This window comes from Homo sapiens (assembly GCF_000001405.40).
Source record: "Homo sapiens chromosome 22 unlocalized genomic scaffold, GRCh38.p14 Primary Assembly HSCHR22_UNLOCALIZED_CTG1".
In the NCBI taxonomy this organism is placed as follows: Eukaryota; Metazoa; Chordata; class Mammalia; order Primates; family Hominidae; genus Homo; species Homo sapiens.
In genome coordinates, this window is record NT_187386.1 from 1 (window position 1) to 19,680 (window position 19,680).

Consider the following 19,680-nt stretch of genomic DNA (forward strand, 5'->3'; position numbering starts at 1 on the left):
ACTTGCTTCCTCAGGATGGAATCTGGCTGGGCCTCTGACCTTGCTGGTCACGTGGGCCGGGGCCTCCATCAGTCATACCCTGGACTCCTATCTGTGTCTAAACACCACGCCCCACCCCCAACTGCACGGCAGCCACTCGCATAGCACTCTGGGAGGGCTGTGGGCATGAGCAGCGAGGACTCCATCAGCAGCTCCCCCACATGAGCCCTGCTGATGAGGGGGCTTGCGAAGCAGCTTTGATGTGCTGGTAAATCCAGGTGCAAAACAGAACTCAAGTTAAGGCCTCCGCACAGCACTGCGTTCTAACTGTGAAGGATTCTTACTCTAGTGTCCTGTGTGGAGGTATTGGAATTGTCCATTGCTAAGACTCAGAGGAGAAAAGCACTTAGCATCGCAGGACTTGGAGCACCGGTGCTGAGGCAACCCTTCATTCATTCGTCGGATGTGTGTTAAGGCCCAGGGCAGGGGTCACGGATTCTCCTCTCACACAGCACGTGGGTGGCAGGACCAACACCGGGTCTGACCTCCCAGCCGGGGGCACAGGCTGCTCACCCCAGGCCTGGAATCTGTCAGATGCCCTTCCCGTGCTGACTTGACTTAGACAGGCCTCCTGACCTTCCCACAAAGGTCATGTGTGATTTGCAGGGGTTCTGGCCGCTTGAAAGGTTCCTGAGAAAGCACATGCAATGAGGACAGAGCTTGCAGAGGGAGGACAGGCATGCAGAAGGCTCTGTGTGCAGCCCCAGACCTGGGTACCTTCATCACCGTCCTCACCCCACCTCCGGGTGTGCACATAGGGAGCAGGTCTCCTGTGTTATGGCCCAAGCAGGGCTGTTAGGACACTGAGAACATTCCCTCCTCCCGCAGGAGAGAGAGGTCCAAGGTGCCCTACATCGTGCGCCAGTGCGTGGAGGAGATCGAGCGCCGAGGCATGGAGGAGGTGGGCATCTACCGCATGTCTGGGGTGGCCGCAGACATCCAGGCACTGAAGGCAGCCTTCAACGTCAGTGAGTGTCGGCCTGCGCAGGACGGGATGGAGGTGTGGGCAGTGGTGTCCACGATGAGATCTCAGAGTGCTCCATGGCCCAGGCATGTCACATCCTTCTCTGTGTCTTTTCTTCATTTACTGTTTTATTATTTTTAAAAAAGAGAAAACAAGAGTTGTACAAACAGCTTCTATAGAAGCCAGTTTTTACACCATCGTACCCACTCGTGCCACTTGGTGGAGTGGACCAGGGGCTTCTGCGGGGCCTTGGCCTTCCTGCCTTGGGGTTGGACAGGAGGTGGAAGCCCAGGACTCAGTGCGGTCTGTCCACTGCCCTGTATGAGGATGTGGTGGGCAGAGGGCACTGATGAAATTCAGCGCAGGCCGGGGCTGCAGCCTCTCCGCCTCCATCTCACCAACCCTCACAGGCTTTGAAGGACCCGGACCTGCCTCAAATGCCAGGGGAGGGCACTGAGACCCCAGAGGGTCCTTCCCAGCATCTTCAAAGCAACAGGATTTTGTGCCTGCAGACCCTTCTTTGCAGCACACACCACCCACCCTGACCAGGACCCCTAGAATGCTCAGCATCCCTGGGAGGGCCCTGTGGTAGTTTCAGCTCCCTCTGAGGGCCCAGAATGAACCTGGCCTGTGGTGAGGATGTAAGCACCAATGGCCAATTGGGTCCAAAGGAAGACACCGGTTCAAACACTGAAACCAATCAGATTCTCCCACGGCCTTCCTGCTATCAGAAGACACTGGTGCAGGGGTGGTTGCTATGTACAGGGCAGAGCCACCCAATCCCCATGCAGGCGCTGTGTCCTGCCATGCTGGCCTCCTCCTGGCCATCACATCAGGCCAAGCAGGGGAGAGGAATGGGAATGCCCACGCACCCCTATCAACTCTGCAGACACAGAACCATGCACAGCTCTTGGGAGGAGTCAGATGAGCTGCTCAAAGCCCAGGAGGGACCCACACAGTGGTCAGCATGGCAGGGACGGTGCTTTAGCCAAGGCAGGGATGGTGGGTGACTCACTCAGGATCTTCAAGGAGGCCGCTGCATTTCCGTGCTCTTTCCAGATAACAAGGACGTGTCAGTGATGATGAGCGAGATGGACGTGAACGCCATCGCAGGCACGCTGAAGCTGTATTTCCGTGAGCTGCCCGAGCCCCTCTTCACTGACGAGTTCTACCCCAACTTCGCAGAGGGCATCGGTGAGCACTGGAGGCCTTGGCCTCATGGGAGACGTCTCCTCCACGTGCACTGCTGCCCTCAGAGGCTGTGAAAAGTGAGGTGTGGGAACCTGAGCTGTGCTTCCTCTGCCATGGTCGGAATTTTAACCCAACCTCAAAAAGCAGGGGACCAAAACTGAGCCTATCCTGGAAGGCCTTGCCCATCCCCAGAGGGGTCCCCATCCATATTTCTCAAGGAGGCCAAGTGGGTGAAATGGTCAGCACTGCCGTGCTGTGGGGTCCTAAAGTCTGCTGTCCTCCTTCCTGCAGACCAGGGCTAAACACTGGTGCCCAGGTGCTCTTGCCATGGGTCCTGGTCCAGCCAAGCATGGTTTCAAACATGACCTGACCCTTAGTCAACCTGGAGGCTGATGTCTAGAGTGGGCGCTGGAGCGTGCAGCACCTGTAGCCTGTGCATCACCCTTAGGGCAGGTCTGCCTCCCGGGCCCATGCACAGAGGACCTGGTCTCCCAGCCTGCAGGTGCCCCTGTGGTGTCCAGGATGTCGAGGGGGTCTCTGTGTACTTGGTGGGGCTGGGACCCTCCCACTTCCCACCTCCTTGTGTCCCTCACTCCCCTGTTTCATTCCATGCTGAGCCTCCCCTGCCTTGGGCTCCCTGGGGAGGGGGTGGTGGCAGGAGTTGCCCGAGGGCAGCTCTGCCCATGAGCAGCTGCTCTAGCGGCTCCTCCTGCTGCTGTTCGCCGGGTGCTGCTGACACCTGCGAGGCAGAGAAAAGGCGTTCAGGTGGTTCACACCCCACACAGGTGCCCCTCACAGGGTCCTCACTGGCGGCCAGCGCTGTGGGTGTGACGATGATGACAAGCCTAAACTGCGCAAGGACTCGTGTCCCGGGCGCTCCATGTGACCACCTCGGGAGAGGTCTCCGGCTTGTCGTAACCCAGAGGAGTGACCCACTGCCTCCTGCAGCTCTTTCAGACCCAGTTGCAAAGAAGAGCTGCATGCTCAACCTGCTGTCGTCCCTGCCGGAGGCCAACCTGCTCACCTTCCTTTTCCTTCTAGACCGCCTGGAAAGGTAGCCCAGCTCTCTTGTGGCTGCCCAGGACTCCAGGTCTCCAGGCCGTGGGGTGCCCCTCTGCTCCCACCAGACCCCCAGCACCAAGGACCTATCCCCTGACCCCTGTCTGCAGTAACTCACTGCTTCTAAGGACTAGCACCACTGCCACCCCCGCCCCTGCCTCTCCTCTTTGCCACCCTCCTCCCTCTGCACTGTGGCCTTAACAAAGAGCTCAGAGCTTTGGCCGTGGCCAGCAGTGCATTTGGACCGCCCCCCCTTCCCTCCCAAGCACATCATGAAGACCTCCCCATCAGCCCAGAGCTGGCCCCTTGTCCTGGGCCACTGAGACCCAGAAGTACCAAGGCTGGAGTCAGCTTGCAGCACAGCCAGGGTCGAGGTCACTCCCTCCCTGAGGACTCTAGCACGGCACAGCCCCTCTGCCTCTCTCCTGGTGGTGGCGTTGAAACAGCACCCTCTGCTTCGGTCCTCTACAGGATGGCAGAGAAGGAGGCAGTCAATAAGATGTCCCTGCACAACCTTGGCACGGTGTTTGGCCCCACGCTGCTCCGGCCCTCCGAGAAGGAGAGCAAGCTCCCTGCCAACCCCAGCCAGCCCATCACCATGACTGACAGCTGGTCCTTGGAGGTCATGTCCCAGGTATGGGAAGACAGGCTCCAGCCCATGCAACCCCAGCCTGACAGAGGTGGCCTCTGCCTGCCCCACCCCCAGTCCTGCCCATCTTCCGACTTGCATTGTATGTGGTGGTGGCTGAGATTCAGAGACAGGGACTTGCCTAGGTTTGCATGGATGGGAGTGATAGGGGGTGCCCAGGCCACCTCCTGGTCCTGCTGGTGCACCTTGCTGGGGGCTTAAAACCACCCCAAGTGTTCGAGTGTGGTGGCTCATGCCTGTAATCCCAGCACTTTGGGAGGCCGAGGCAGGACAACTGAACCCAGGTGTTTGAGACCAGTCTGGGCAATGTAGCAAACCCCATCTCCAGAAAAAATACAAAGAAAAATTAGGCAGGCATTGGGGCACATATCTGTAATCCTAGGTATCTGGGAGGCTGACACAGGAGGATTGCTTGAGCCCAGGAGTTAGAGGCTGCAGTGATCCATGATGGAGCCACTGTACTCCAGCCTGGGGGACAGAGCAAGGCCCTGTGCATCTCTAAAATAAATAACCACCCCCCACCCAACAAGTCATGCCTTGTCAGGACCCCACCCCACCCCCGTCTCACTGTAAGGGGTTCATGACACCAGCAGGGGTTTCTAGCACCTGAGGTGGACTTGGGAGCTTGGGCCCCAAAGACCTCCCACCAGCAGCTGTGAGCCCCCCTCTGAGCCACTCTCCTCTTCCCCACTCCGCGAGGGCAGGTCGAGGTGCTGCTGTACTTCTTGCGGCTGGAGGCCATCCCTGCCCTGGACAGCAAGGGACAGAGCATCCTGTTCTCCACCGATGTCTAAAGGTCCCAGTCCATCTCCTGGAGGCGGACAGACGGCCTGGAAACCTCTGGCTAATCAGGCCATCTGTAGAGTGGGAATCAAGATTTTCTGAGGCATCCTTGGGCCACCCCCAGGTGTCAGGCCATCTGCCAAGAGACAGCGGCCCAAAGCAGAAGGACAGGTGGCCTGGGCAGATCCCGCCCAGGTCTGAAAGCCCCAGGCTGGCCTCAGACTGTGGGTTTTTTATGTGGCCACCCGAGGGCGCCCCAAACCAGTTCATCTCAGAGTCCAGGCCTGGCCCTGGGAGACAGGGTGAAAGCAGTGGTTTTTATGAACTTAACTTATAGAGTCTAAAAGATTTCTACTGAATCACTTGTCAAGAAGCGCCCTCTCTGGGGAGAAGGGAACGTGACTGGATTCCCTCACTGTTGTATCTTGAATAAACGCTGCTGCTTCATCCTGTGGGGGCCGTGGCCCTGTCCCTGTGTGGGTGGGGCCTCTTCCATTTCCCTGACTTAGAAACCACAGTCCACCTAGAACAGGGTTTGAGAGGCTTAGTCAGCACTGGGTAGCGTTTTGACTCCATTCTTGGCTTTCTTCTTTTTCTTCCCAGAAGGATTTTTGTGCAGAAATGGTTCTTTTGTTGCCGTGTTAGTCCTCCTTGGAAGGCAGCTCAGAAGGCCCGTGAAATGTCGGGGGACAGGACCCCCAGGGAGGGAACCCCAGGCTACGCACCTTAGGGTTCGTTCTCCAGGGAGAGCGACCTCGTCCCCCGATCCTGACCGCCCTTCCGGCCCACGCTCTCCTGTTTGGCTTCCACAGGCCTGGACTTCTCTGGCTTCTCTGCCCACACACTCCCTGCCCCCAGTGTCCCTGCCCCTGCCCCAGCACAGGTGACTTCATTTCTGTCCTCTCAGCTCAGTGGACTCGCTCAACTTTTGTATAAGTCTCCACTTGGTGGTAGCAGCTTGCTGATGACTTGTTTTAAAACTTTCATCCTAAATAACCTTTTGATACTTGAATATTTGTAAGTTTTATACATAGTTTCTAATTTTTTCCCCAACAGATCCAGATACCTAATAAGATGCTGGAATGTAATCCTGGACAATCCGTGTCCTGGCAGCATTTGGTCTTCCTCTAAGCGCCTGGCTCCGCTGTTCTCAGGAGTGGGTTCTGAAGTCTCTGGAGAACAGGATACGTGGAGGGTTAGGAAGGGGCCAGGCCTAGAGACGGGAGACTCCCTCCCGGAGCAGGTGGAGGCACAGGACCATTCGCTACCCCATCTGCCGGCACCTGCGGGGGAGCCCAGGCATTGTTTGTAAGCCCTCCTGACCACCTGGCTCAAAGAAAACAGAAGCATGGAGGCCGCCAAGTATTTTCAAGAAATAACCCCATGAACATGGCATCACTTTTTTAGAAAGAGGGGCTTGGGACAGGCAGAGGAGAGAAGGGAGAGCAAACTGAGAGCCAAGTTTCCAGACAGTCCTGCAGGAGGAGAGGATGCAGCTGCGCAGAGGGAAGCAGGATCACATTTAAGGAAGTGTGTGGGGTCCCTGGATGACACCAGCACCCAGTGCGGCTCTGTCTGGCAACCGCTCCCAAGGTGGCAGGAGTGGGTGTCCCCTGTGTGTCAGTGGGCAGCTCCTGCTGAGCCCGCAGCTCACTGGGGAGCCTGACAGCGGGGCCATGTGCCTGACACTCCTCTCTGCTTGTGGACCTGGCAAGGCAGGGAGCAGAAAACAGAGCCACTTGAAGGCTTTCTGTCTGCGTCTGTGTGCAGTGTGGATTTAGTTGTGCTTTTTTCTTGCTGGGAGAGCACAGCCACCATTTACAAGCAGTGTCACCCTCGTGGGTGGCGAGGACAGAACAGGAGCCTCTGCTCTCTGTACCTATCTGGGCCCGGTGGGCTCCCTTGTCCTGGCTTCCATCTCTGTCTCAGTGACCATTCAGCCCTGCGCAGGAACACATGTTGCTTAGAAAAGCCAAATCCAGCCTTGTCTCTGCCTCCTCTGGTCTCATGATGTGCATCTGTTACCTTGAAACTGGAAACCAGTCTATCAATGTCTGTGCCAATTTTTTATTCCCTCCCCAACCTCCTTCCCCATACGACTTTTTATTTATGTAGGATGTGTGCTGTCTAATGATGGGATGACCACACTTTTCCATGTTCTAAAAGTGCTCCTCTCCCGCAGGGTCCCAGGGCTGGTGGTTGCTTTGGGTCTACAGCTACGTCTTACCCGCCTCCTGCCTCAACAGCCTGTGTGGTGGCAAAGCCGGTGTGGGGCTGGGGAACACAGCATTCTCCAGGAGGGGGACCCGGCTCTCCTTCTGCAATGCAGGCGAAGGCCTAGATGCCAGTGTGACCTCCCACAAGGCGTGGCTTCCAGACTCCCCGGCCGGAAGTGATGCTTTTTTGCCGTGGGCCCTGGGTTTGAAGCAGCCTGGCTTTCTCTTGGTAAGTGGCTGGTGTCTTAGCAGCTGCAATCTGAGCTCAGCCACCTACACACCACCGTGGCCGACACTTTCATTAAGAAGTTTCCTGAGACGACTTGCGTGCATGTTGACTTCATGATCAGCGCCGCTGGGAAGAACCCCTGAGCCGGTGGGGTGGGGCTGGAAGCAGCAGGTGCAGTGATGGGGCTGGGTGCCCAGGAGGCCTCAGTGCTCAATCAGGCCAAGGTGGCCAAGCCCAGGCTGCAGGGAAGGCCGGCCTGGGGGGTGTGGGTGAGCACAGGCAGGCACCAGCTGGGCAGTGTTAGGATGCTGGAGCAGCATCCGTAACTCCACTGAGTGGGGTAGTCTGGTTGGGGCAGGGACCGCTGTTGCTTTGGCAGAGAGAGATGATCCCCACTGGGGAGAGGCTGTTCTGACTCTGCAGGTGGGACAGGGACAGATGGCCACCAGGGTGACCCGGCTGGTCTTCCTTTGCTATGCTAAGCCCTGGGACATGGAGGATTCCTGCCACACAGCCTGGGCCCGGGTTCTTACCTGTGGCCACCGCTCTGGCACGAGCCCCTCAGTCTTGGGTGGTTTTTGCCTGGTCCAGGATTTGGTGTTGCTGCTGAGTCCAGCCTTTCCACCACCTCCGCATGGGCTGTGGGTGTTGTCAGCTGCCTCCCGCCTTGGCTTCAGTAGCTCACCCAGCTTACAGGGGAGCTGCCCTGGGCTGGAGATGGGCACGCACCCTGGGTCCTACTTGAATGAATGCAGCTTGAGGAGACCCGGCCATATACACTGGGCCACCGGTTACCTTCGGCAATGCCCACATCAGCCGTCAGCCTGAGCCTCCCCAGGAGAGCAAGGCTCACACGACAAAGGCTGCCCGTGGCCAATGAGGTGGCTGAGCCCAGCCAGGACCTTTCTCGGACTCCCGGGATGTGGCTCTGCTCGTGAGCTGCCTGGTCAGCTCTCTCGGGGTGAGAGGGGCTTGTCACACGGGCCCCTGCCTGCAGTGTGACCCTTCTCAGCTTCTCTCAGCAGCCCTGCCTGCGGAGTGTCACCGCCACCATGATCATTTCCCTGACACTGCGAGGGTGTGGGGACGTCCTGGGTAGAGACAGGGCCCGTGGCAGCAGCAGGCTCAGGGGCGCCCTGCGCTGGTGGGCTGGGGACCTGGTGGAGACCACGCCAAGGGCTGGACAAGGGGACGAGCCTCCACCCTGGCCTCTCCGCAGGCCTCAGCAGCCCCTCCCACAGGCAGAAGGGTTGACACTGGGTTCTGCCCTCACTGCAAGAGCTGCAAGTGCCATGTGCTGTTCTGCCCAATCTGGTGTCTGCAGGTGAGGGAAGGGCTGCCGCTGGCCCGTTTCTGAGTGTTCAGCACCTAAGGGTGACAGCACTGTCTGTCCCTACCCTCCAGGTCCTGTTTGAAAATCAAACCCATGCTCACAGGCCAATTTTTTTTTCTTTTAGAGACAGGGTCTCACTTTGTCACCCAAGCTGGAGTGCAGTGGTGCGATTATAGCTCAATGCAGCCTCCAATTCCCGGACTCAAGGGACCTTCCTGCCTCAGCCTGCCAAGTAGCTTGGACTATAGCTGTGTGTTTTATTATTATTTTGTAGACATGGGGTCTGGCTATGTTGTCCAGACTATTCTCAAAATTCCCGGCCTCGAGCAATCCTCCTGCCTCGGCCTCTCAAAGGTTGGGATTACAGGTGTGAGGCAAGGCACCCAGCTCAGCCACAGAGCCCTGTTGCATCTCTCTTACTAGGAGCAAGAGCTGACTGCCCCCTCATCCCCATTCCAGAGTGTTGGGGCTGTGTTGAGCCGAGGCCAGGCCACTGGCATGGGCCCAGGGAACGGGATCATTCACTGCTGCCCCAAATCTGAGATCATTCCACCTTGACAAGACTTCCTCATCCAATCCCTTTACTTGACAGCTGGGGAAACCAATGCGCACAGAGCACCCCCAGCTCACTCGGGGTCTCAGAGCTGATCCATGAGCAGAGGCTGAGATCCTGGGATCTTGTCCCCCAGCCTCCCTGCAAGCTTACTCCCTTTCTGCTGGAAGAGATGGGGCCGGACCTCGACCAGCAGCCCTGGCCTGGACATGACTGTGCTCATGCAGGTATTGAGGCCGAGATGCCCCAGCATCATATGTTTTTCTTTTTTTTTTTCTTTCTTTTTTGAGATTGGCTCACTGCAACCTCTGCCTCCCGCTTAAAGTGATTCTCCTGCCTCAGTCTTCCAAGTAGCTGGGCCTACAGGCTTGTACCACCACACCTGACTAATTTTTGTATTTTTACTAGAGACGGGGTTTCCCCATGTTGGCCAGGCTCGTTTCGAACTCCTGACATCAGGTGATCCACCTGCCTTGGCCTCCCAAAGTGCTAGGATTACAGGCATGAGCCATGGCGTCACTTAAATGTAGTGAGAGGCCGGGCTTGGCGGCTCATGCCTGTAATCCCAGTGCCTTGAGAGGACGAGGCTGTCAGATCACCTAAGGTCAGGAGTTCGAGACCAGCCTGGCCAATATGGTGAAACCGTGTCTCTATAAAACAATAGAAAAAAATATCCCTGCATGGTGGTGAGTACCTGTAGTCCCAGTTACTCAGGAGGCTGAGGCATGAGAATCGCTTAAACCTCAGAGACGGAGGCTGCAGTAAGCTGAGATGGCGCCACTGCACTCCAGCCTGGGTGACAGAGCAAGACTTTGTCTCTAAATAATTAAATAAATATGGCCGAGCATGGTGCCTTAGGCCTGTAATCCCAACACTTTGGGAGGCTGAAGCAGGTGGTTCATGAGGTCAGGAGCCCGAGACCAGCCTGGCCAAGATGGTGAAACACTGTCTCTACTAAAAATACAAAAATTAGCCAGCTGTGGTGGCAGGCACCTGTAATCCCAGCTACTTGGGACACTGAGGCAGGAGAATCGCTTGAAACTGGAAGTCAGAGGTTGCAGTGAGCCGAGATTGCACCACTGCACCCTAGCCTGGGTGATGGATCAAGACTCCATCTCAACTAAATAAATTAATAAATACAGAGCAAGATTCCATCTTAAATAAATAAATAAACATACACCTGTAATCCTAGCACTTCGGGAGGCTAAGACAGGTAGATCACCTGAGGTCAGGAGTTCGAGACCAGCCTGACCAATATGGCAAAACTCCATCTCTACTAAAAATACAAAAATTAGCCAGGCCTTTTGACGTGTGCCTGTAGTCCCAGCTACTTGGGAGGCTGAGACAGGAGAATTGCTTGAACCCAGGAGGTGGAGGTTGCAGTGAGCCGAGATCTCGGCTGCACTTCAGCCTGGGTGACAGAGTGAGACTCTGTCTCAAAAGGAATAAAAAAAATACAAAAAAAAAATGTAGTATGATTGCAGAGTTGTGCCGCGGAAGCGTGCTGGTCCTATCCATGTAGTGAAGGCTGATTTCATACAGAAATGTCACAATAACTTTTTTTTCTTTTTCTTTTTTTTTGAGACGGAGTCTCGCTCTGTCACCCAGGCTGGAGTGCAGTGGCGCGATCTCAGCTCACTGCAAGCTCTGCCTCCCGGGTTTATGCCCTTCTCCTGCCTCAGCCTCCTGAGTAGCTGGGACTACAGGCCTGTGCAGCAGATGCTGGGGGGCCACTAGGCCCAGGCAGTCTTGGGACTTGTGTCTCTCCTGCTGTGCATCCATACTGGGTGCTTTAGAAATGGCAGGCAGACCAGAAGCCCCTGTTGCAAGTGAGGACAAAGTGTGGGAAGGCCGTGAGGGTCTGCAGTACTAAATGGCCTTGTCCTCAACCTGCAGTGCACTCTTGATGCGCTGGAAAGCCGCCTCCTTCTCCTGGTCCAGGTCTTCAGCAGTGACCCGGTACCCCAGCTCTAAGGGAGGTGGCAGCATCAAAGGCTCCCCTCGCCTGCGTGGCAGCAGGGGAAACTTGCATCTACAGGGCCTAGAGGCCTGGGATCTGGGGGAGCCACCCCTGGGGTCGAGTGTCTGCCCTGGTGCTGTATCTGCCATCTTTTCACACTGGGTGTGACCCGAAGAGACAGCCTGAGGTCCGTCCTCACTCACTGTGTTTCAGGAACTGAGGGTCAGCTGGCAGTGGGATGAGGCTGGCCCCCTTCTCCGCTTTCGTTCCGGGAGGCCTCCCGTAGAGTGGTAGGGGCTCGAGATGGCATTTCGTTTGGGGCACGAGCTGGTCCGGGAGGTCTGGGATCTCTGGTTCTGACCTCTGGGCACCTGCTGCAGCTGTGGCTGAGGCCCAGAAATGTGAAGGGCCTCCATCCACTCCAGTAGTGACCCCAACGTGGGGTTCAATGTGGAGGGGGGAGGGGCTGCTGCGGCAGCTGCAGGAGCAGAAGTGCCACACCTTGTTCTTCTCATGCCCGCATCCATGCTTGCAGCTGGGAAGGGGGCAGGAATCAGCGAGGTGACCTGGGCTGAGTCCTGGGAATGGGAAGAGGTGGCAGGAAGGGGATCTGAGGAGGAGAACAGGGGGCCTGGTGGTCTGTGCTTCTTCCCAGACATGGGAGCTGTAGAGGGGACCCCTGCAGCAGATGCTAAGGGGGCCAGTAGGCCCAGGCAGTCTTGGGACTTGTGTGTCTCCTGCTGTACATCCATACTGGGTGCTTTAGAAATGGCAGGCAGACCAGAAGTCCCTGTTGCAAGTGAGGACAAAGTGTGGGAAGGCCGTGAGGGTCTGCAGTCCGAGATGGCCTTGTCCTCAACCTGCAGTGCACTGTTGATGCGCTGGAATGCCGCCTCCTTCTCCCGGTCCAGGTCTTCAACAGTGACCCGGTACCCCAGCTCTAAGGGAGGTGGCAGCATCAAAGGCTCCCCTCGCCTGCGTGGCAGCAGGGGAAACTTGTGTGTACTGGGCCTAGAGGCCTCGGATGTGGAGGAGTCATTCCTGAGGGCGAGTGTCTGCCCTGGTGCTATATCTGCTGCCTTTTCACACTGGGTGTGACCTGAAGAGACAGCCTGAGGCCTGTCCTCACTCACTGTCTTTGAGGAACTGAGGGTCAGCTGGCAGTGGGATGAGGCTGGCCCCCTCCTCCGCTTTAGCCCCGGCAAGCCTCCCATGGAGCTGTAGGAGCTGGAGATGGCATTTCGGTTGGTGCAGGAGCTCGTCCAGGAGATCTGGGATGTCTGGTTATATCTGATTTCTGACCTCTGGGCATGGAGGTCTGTCTGCAGAGGCCCGGGCCCGGGCACAAAGGGAGAGAGGCCTCTATTGTCCCGCAGGGGCCGAAATGCAGACGGTGCATCCCCGGTGACCTCGGGGACCCTTCTCTGATCACCAGGATTCTCTTGGACTCTAGGGTCCTTGTCCTGCTCAGGCATCCCTGCCCCGCTCTCCTTGAGGGCCCTCAACACTATCTTCCCTGGACACAAGTCTGGGGACAGCCGGGTGTTGTGGACCCCAAAGGGGTGACTCCCGGCTCCTGGGCCCCACAGAGAGTCCATGTTCTCAGTGCAGTGGCTGAGCTGGAGGACGCCCTGGAACTCGGAGCACACAGCACTGGCTTGCTGTGGTACCTGTGCAATCAAATTGAAGGCAGGATCCCAGGAAGGAAGGCAGGGCTTGCAGGATCACGGAAAACCTTCTTAGAGTTGTCTTGACACCACTGATGTCAAGTGTCCGGGTGCTTGTAGGATGGCCTGCCACTCAGTCCACGGGCAGGAGCAACGGGGAGATCCCACAGGCAAAGTGAACTGGGGGATGGGCTGAACGGGCTCCAGGCAACTGAGCCCTACTGGCAGGTCCTCGGCCTGGGCCCGAACAGGAAGGAGGGGCACAGAGTGCCCAGGTAACCGCTCCTGGGAGCAGTGGGGAACCGTCGGTTGCTTGAACTCTCGAGAGCTGGGCTCGGAGCGTCCTCGTCCAGCCGCCAACTCGGCCAACGGCTAAGCCAGCAGTTTCTTCTGTTGCCGGGCAACGCGCCTTTTAAACCTGAGGGAGCGGGCGCGTGAGCACATCACGGCGCCCGTGACAGAGCGAGCTTAACGGATTAATAAGCGCAGCCAGGTACCCGCGCGAGGCACTTGCTGGCAATGGCGGGAGGCGGACGTGGGGGGTCATGCAATAGGTACGGGAAGGAGAGAGGCGAGCACAAAGGTCGCGGGAGGAACAGGTGCCCACAATGGCGGCAGATCTGCCCGTGGATCACTGAAGATTCCTGCTCTCCTGCTGAGGTGGAGATTGCAGTGAGCTGAGATCGCACCATTGCACTCCAGCCTGGGCAACAAGTGCAAAACTCAGTCTCCAGATAAAGAAAAGAAAAAGAAAAAAAAGAGGCCGGGCGTGGTGGCTTATGCCTATAATCCTAGCACTTTGGGAGGTCGGGGCGGACGGATCACGAGATCAGGTGTTGGAGACCAGCCTGGCCAACAGAGTGAAACCCCGTCTCTAGTAAAAATACAAATTTAGTCAGACATGGTGGTACGCGCCTGTAGTCCCAGCTACTCCGGCGGCTGAGACTGGAGAATCACTTGAACCCGGGGGCTGGGAAGGGATTGTGATGCGCCGAGATCGCGCCACTGCACTCCAGCCTGGGCAACAGAGCCAGACTCTTTTTCTTTTTTTTTTTGAGATGGAGTCTCCCTCTGTCGCCCAGGCTGGATTCCAGTGGCCTGATCTCGGCTCACCGCAAGCTCCGCCTACCGGGTTCACGCCATTCTCCTGCCTCAGCCTCGGGAGTAGCTCGGACTACAGGCGCCCGCCACCACATCCGGCTAATTTTTTGTATTTTTAGTAGAGACGGGGTTTGACCGTGTTAGCCAGGATGGTCTCGATCTCCTGACCTCGTGATCAGCCCGCCTCGGCCTCCCAAAGTGCTGGGATTAAAGGCGTCAGCCACCGCGCCGGGCCGAGACTCTGTCTTAAAAAAAAAAAGCCTGGGCTGTGGCACTTTGGGAGGCGGAGGCGGGCGGATCACGAGGTCAGGAGTTGGAGACCAGCCTGGCCAACATAGCGAAACCCGGTCTCTACTAAAACTACAAAAAATTAGCCGGGCGTGGTGGCGGGCGCCTGCAGTCCCAGCTACTCCGGAGGCTGAGGCAGGAGAATGGCGTGAACTCGGGAGGCGGAGCTTGCAGTCACCCGAGATCTCAGCACTGCACTCCAGCCTGGGTGACAGTGCGAACCTCCACCTCAAAAAAAAAAGAGAGAGAGAGAGAGAGAGAGAGAGACAGAGAGAAAAAGGTTTATTGATTTAATGTACTTTTATGCCTGTGTTCTTCAATTTGCTTAGGAAAGACCCACACTTGAGAGCTGGGACTGTGTCCCTGATTGTGGACATGAAATATGTGGTTTCTTGCCAAAACTAGACACTGAATAATTACGATTTAGTTGAGCTAGAAATCCATTTGGTTTCTTCCATATTTTTCCAAAATTTTCATCCTTTTTTTTTTTTTTTTGACATGGAGTTTCGCTCTTGTCCCCCAGGCTGGAGTGCAATGGCGCGATCTCAGCACCTGCTGGCAATGGCGGGAGGCTAGGGGACGCTGGCGGCATAGGTACTGGAAGGAGAGGCGCGCGCACAAAAGACTTGGGAAGACCTGGCGCGCACAATGGCTGCAGATCCGCCAGTGGATCACTGAAGATTCCTGCTCTCCTGCTGAGGCGGGGATTGCAGTGAGCTGAGATCACACCATTGCACTCCAACCTGGGCAACAAGAGCGAAACTTCGTCACACACACACACACACACACACACACACACACACACACACACACACGAAAGAAAGAAAGAAAAAATAGTGGCCAGGCGTGGAGGCTCACGCATCCCAGCACTTTGGGAGGTCGGGGCGGGCGGATCACGAGATCAGGAGTTGGAGACCAGCCTGGCCAACAGAGTGAAACCCCGTCTCTAGTAAAAATACAAATTTAATCAGACATGGTGGCACGCGCCTGTAGTCCCAGCTACTCCAGCGGCTGAGACAGGAGAATCACTTGAACCCGGGGGCGGGGAAGGGATTGTGATGTGCCGAGATCGCGCCACTGCACTCCAGTCTTGGCAACAGAGTCAGACTCTCTCTCTCTCTTTTTTTTTTTTTTTTTGAGATGGAGTCTCCCTCTGTCGCCCAGGCTGGATTCCAGTGGCCTGATCTCGGCTCACCGCAAGCTCCGCCTACCGGGTTCACGCCATTCTCCTGCCTCAGCCTCTGGAGTAGCTCGGACTACAGGCGCCCGCCACCACACCCGGCTAATTTTTTTTGTATTTTTAGTAGAGACGGGGTTTGACCGTGTTAGCCAGGATGGTCTCGATCTCCTGACCTCGTGATCAGCCCGCCTCGGCCTACCAAAGTGCCGGGATTTAAGGCGTGAGCCACAGCGCCCGGCCCCGAGAGTGAATATCTTTTAACAGTGTTTTTCCTGATCTTTTCCAACATCTTCACTGTGGTTCTGTCCTTTATTTTTTGGTTAAATCCAGAGGTTTACTTCTGCCTGTATCTTTCCAAACTATTAATCTGTTCACAATCACTCTCCCATTTAAACCCTTCAGCAGCCCCAGTACCTTCGTAATAAGGTCTCCTTAGCTTGGTATCCAGAACACTTCAATACTGGGCTTTGACCCCTGTTCTCCTTCCCCCACCTCTGTTTAGGTGCTTCACTGAGCTGCACTGAACAGCTCTTGGCCCCTTGAAATCTCTGCAGTCTCCTTGTCTCCCTCTGCTGGAATATTCTTCTCTCACTTCATCCGATCATTGCCTTCAAAACTCAGCTCATTTTCTTATTTCCTTGCCCTTTTCATGTCCCTTGTTTTCCTCCGATTAAATTAATGTTCCAAACTCAAAAGAAAAACAACTCAGCTCAGGCATCACCTTGCCTGGAAGGCTTCCCTAGTCCTCCTGCCTCCCGCAGACTTGTCTGGCACCCTGTGCATTTGGGATTTGGCACACTATGTCTCATCTGCGGCCTCCACTGGACGATGAGACCGTAAGTGTGTGGCTTGACGGAAAGTTGTTGACTCTGCTGGGGTGCTGGTACAGTGCTGGGCACGGCAGTGTTACAGAGGAAGTGAGCCACTTAGTTTCTGCCCTTAGGAGCTTTTCTTCTAGTTGCAGTTGACCCTGCCAGCTGTGAGACACCTCCCAGTAGTGCATACCAACTTTCAAAGTCTGTTTAATTGTATCTTAGTGTCTGATTCCAATTTTATTTCTTGAAGGAGGGGAGTGTCTCTAATGTCTTATTTTGGCACCCAGAGACCAGGTAGACATCATTTTTGTCCCAAATTGTGGAAGGAATGTACATTTGGCACAGATTACTTCCCTTTTTTCTCTTGTACACCTTTCACCTTTTTTGTTTTTGTCTTTTTTTTTTTTTGAGTTTGATGTGTTTGGACAGTAAGGGTTTACGAGATTAAGATTAAATTTCAACTTTGTCTATTGTGCATATAGCCTAAGGAAAACAAAAAGTTAAAGAGGAAAAATACATTGCCTCTAAAAAGAAGACTCATTATTCAACTTTTTTTATTTTTAATTGTTTTCAGAGACTGGGTCTCACCCTATCACCCAGGCTGGAGAGGTGATCACAGCTCACCGTAGCCTTGAACTCCTGGGTTCAAGGGTTCCTCTTGCCTTAGTCTTCTCACTAGCTGAGACTGCAGGCCCACGCCAGCACACCTGGCTAATTTTACAAAAATTGTTTTGGAGAGACGTGGTCTTGCCATCTTGCCTAGGCTGGTGTGGAACTCCTGGGTTCAAGCAAACCTCCCACCTTGGCCACCCTAAGTGTTGGGATTACAGGCGTGAGCCATTGTGCCCAGCCTAAACTTTTTTGTTTTTTTTTAATGCTGAGCTGTACACAGAAGAAAGTAAAGGTCTTGGTCAAGCCTAGGAAAGAAGTATGCAAAGAAACTGGTGGCAGGCTGGATGTGGGCATATTTCGGGGCTTTGGAAGGTGAGGAGGAGAGGATTGCTTGAGGCCGAGAGTTCGAGACCAGCCTGGGCAACATAACGAGAACCTGTCTGTACAGATAAACATTTTATAATTAGCCAGGTGTATGTACCCTAGAACTTAAAGTATAATAAAAAAAATAAAATAAAATTCGCCAAGTGTGGTGTTGCGCACCTGTAGTCTCAGCTACTTGAGAGGCTGAGGCAGGGGGATCTCCTGAGTCCAGGTGTTTGAGGCTGCAGTGAGCTAGGATCACACCACTGTTCTCCAGCCTGGGCTACAAAGCGAGACTCTGTCTCTAAAGAAAAACATACTGGTGGCATTGTCAAGATTTGTCAAGAAATAGCCATTATGCTGGGCCCAGTGGTGTGCACCTGTAGTGCCAGCTTTTCAGGAGGCTGAAGTGGAAGAATCTCTTGAGCCTAGGAGTTTGAGTTCAGTCTGGGGAGCATTGCAAGAGCCCAGTCTCAAAAATATTAGGTCAATAAGATTTATTTTAATTAAACAAGAAAAAGAAATATCTGCTAAAATTTAAAGCTCTTCTATTCTTCCTCTGTCTCTTCTAGTGTTCTTGGGGAAGATCCCGACTTAGCCATTTTCCAGTGGCACCTCTTCCACCATGAGTTCCTGAGGCAGTCCGATGGGGCTACTTTAGTCCAGAACAATCACAGTGAGAACTTTTCTCCCAATAAATGCCCCTTTTCTCTCCTTAATATATTCTCTTGCTTACAAAACACTGGTGTCTCCTTATCATGGTTTGGTTCTACCCCACTGGGCCCAAGAATTCTTGCCCAGGAGCAACTGAATTTTCTTCTTGCTTGCTTTTTAAAACTTTGGTGGGGTAGAGCCAATTTTAAATCTTCTGATCCATTTTTTCATTGCTTTTCTCGCCCTTCTGCATTTTCTGCAAATTCCGTTGAATCATTGCAGTTACTTAGGTTTGCTTCATCTCCCCCATTACAAACTACTTGCTGGAGTTTTCAACCCTAGTTCCCTCATTTTTATGATTTATGCTCATTTCTTTGTACACTTCGTCTTGCTCCATCTCCCAACTCATGGCCTCTGGCCCTGGATTATTGTTTTAGCCTTTTATTTTTTGTCTTCTTCTACCTCAACACTTATCTTCCTCTCCCAGTCTCCTGTACCCTATCACCAAGGTTGTCATTAACCTTTCATATTATTCCTCATTATCCATGTATTCGTTTGCAAATAAGCGTATATTAACAAAATCACAGGTTTATGGAGATACAATTCACATACCTTAAAATTCAGGCTTTTAAAGTGTACCTTTCATGTGGTTTTTGGTATATTCACAAAGTTATGCATTGATCACCACCATCTGATTCCATAACATGTTCAATACCTCAAAAAGAAGTCTGTACTCATTAGCAGCCATTTCACATTCACCACTCCCTCTGGCTCTGGGCAGTCACTGATCTTTGTGTCTCTACGGATTTGCCTAGTCTAGGTATTTTTATGTAAATGGAATCATACAACATGTGACCTTTTGTTTGGCTTTTTTCATTTAGCAAAATGTTATTAAGGTCTATTCCTGTTGTAGCATGTATTAGCACTTCATTTCTTATATGCTGAATGATATACTTTATTTGTCCATCAGTTGTTCATGCTTTATTTGTCCATCAGTTGATGAACATTTGCGTTTTTGCCACTTTGGGCTATTATGAATAATGCTACTGTGAACAAGTGTGTACAAGTTCCTCTGCAAATTTTTGTGTGGACATATCCTTTCAGTTCTCTCAGGTGTATATCTGGGAGTTGAATTGCTGGGTCATGTAGTAGCTACGTTAAACATTTTGAGAAACTGCTAAAATGTTCTCCAGAGCTGTACCATTTTACATTCTGTGTGTGAGGATTCCACGTTCTCCACTTCCTCACCAGTGTATGGATTTGGGGGTATACTTTTTAAAAAGTGGGATTAGGCTGGGCACAGTGGCTCACACCTGTAATCCCAACACTTTGGGAAGCTGAGGTGGGAGGATCACTTGAGCCTAGTAGTTTGAGACCAGCCTGGGCAACATAGGGAGACCCTGTCTCTACAAAAAATAATTTAAAATAAATTAGCTGGGCGTTGTGGCACACACCTGTAGTCCCAGCTACATGGGAGGCTGAGGTGGAAGGATTCCCTGAGCCCAGAAGGTTGAGGTTGCAGTGAGCCATGATGGCAGCACTATACTGTAGCCTGGGTGTCAGAGCACGACTCCGTTTCAGGGAAGAAAAAAAAAGTGGGATGATATTTTTGACACTTTTCTTCTTGTTTTCTTAATTTCATACTTCTGGAAATTCCATTAAATTAGCTGGTACCACTCTAACTCATTGTGTTTCATGGCTGCATAGTAATATTGCATAATATAAATATACCATTCATTCATCAAAGTTAGCAGATATTGACTGTTAGGTGCCAGGCACTGCTCTAAGCGTTGAAGAAAAACACACAAAAACTTTTGCATTCTTAGAGTTTATTTTCCAATGGAGGGGGTGGAGGGAGGTAAGAATTTAGGAAATAAATTAATTACGTATATAGCATAGGGTTTCACCAGTGAGTGCAGCTTGAATCGTTGGCGGCTTTCTTAGTAGTATAAATACAGTACTAAAGATGAAATTACTCTAAATGGTGTTACTTAAATTACTGTAATAGGTATTACTATTAGTCA

General features: G+C 53.6%; 1 protein-coding gene, 1 long non-coding RNA gene and 1 pseudogene across 7 annotated transcripts; 1 reads left to right on the forward strand and 2 right to left on the reverse strand.

The window, feature by feature from the left end:
• The first annotated feature begins 867 nt into the window (after nt 1-867).
• Nucleotides 868-7,220, forward strand: LOC102724751 (breakpoint cluster region protein-like; annotated as a pseudogene). Its single transcript, NR_171775.2, has 5 exons — nt 868-940; nt 2,063-2,197; nt 2,980-3,248; nt 3,725-3,887; nt 5,742-7,220. The product of NR_171775.2 is annotated as a breakpoint cluster region protein-like (transcript).
• Nucleotides 1,037-6,995, reverse strand: LOC124905330 (uncharacterized). 2 transcript variants are annotated; one of them, XM_047442802.1, is made up of 5 exons: nt 6,913-6,995; nt 5,752-5,857; nt 3,590-4,224; nt 2,019-2,933; nt 1,037-1,126 (listed from the first exon to the last, which is right to left on the reverse strand). In XM_047442802.1, exons 2-4 carry the CDS (start codon nt 5,799-5,801, stop codon nt 2,797-2,799), a joined length of 822 nt encoding a protein of 273 aa, XP_047298758.1. In that variant the 5' UTR covers nt 5,802-5,857; nt 6,913-6,995; the 3' UTR covers nt 1,037-1,126; nt 2,019-2,796. The 2 variants fall into 2 exon arrangements, with proteins under 2 accessions (XP_047298758.1, XP_047298757.1); XM_047442801.1 differs by lacking the exon at nt 6,913-6,995 and adding an exon at nt 6,565-6,679.
• Nucleotides 3,636-13,058, reverse strand: LOC102724151 (putative POM121-like protein 1). 4 transcript variants are annotated; one of them, XR_002958853.2, is made up of 3 exons: nt 11,180-13,058; nt 7,664-7,870; nt 3,654-3,718 (listed from the first exon to the last, which is right to left on the reverse strand). It is a non-coding gene; the product is annotated as a putative POM121-like protein 1 (long non-coding RNA). The 4 variants fall into 4 exon arrangements; XR_007068545.1 differs by lacking the exon at nt 3,654-3,718 and adding an exon at nt 6,868-7,288 and having other exon boundaries at nt 7,664-7,867; XR_001756147.2 differs by lacking the exon at nt 3,654-3,718 and adding an exon at nt 6,868-7,288.
• Nucleotides 13,059-19,680: the final 6,622 nt, after the last annotated feature.

Bases quoted from the DNA above. Each gene is read 5' to 3' on its own strand.
- LOC124905330 (XM_047442802.1), bottom strand. From the start codon at position 5,801: ATGCTGCCAGGACACGGATTGTCCAGGATTACATTCCAGCATCTTATT. The intron at 4,225-5,751 runs GTATCTGGATCT...TTTTTTCTGGAG, and splicing joins ACATTCCAGCATCTTATTAG to ATGGGGTTTGCTACATTGCC. The intron at 2,934-3,589 runs GTACTTCTGGGT...TCTGCCTCGCAG, and splicing joins GCAAGCTGACTCCAGCCTTG to GTGTCAGCAGCACCCGGCGA.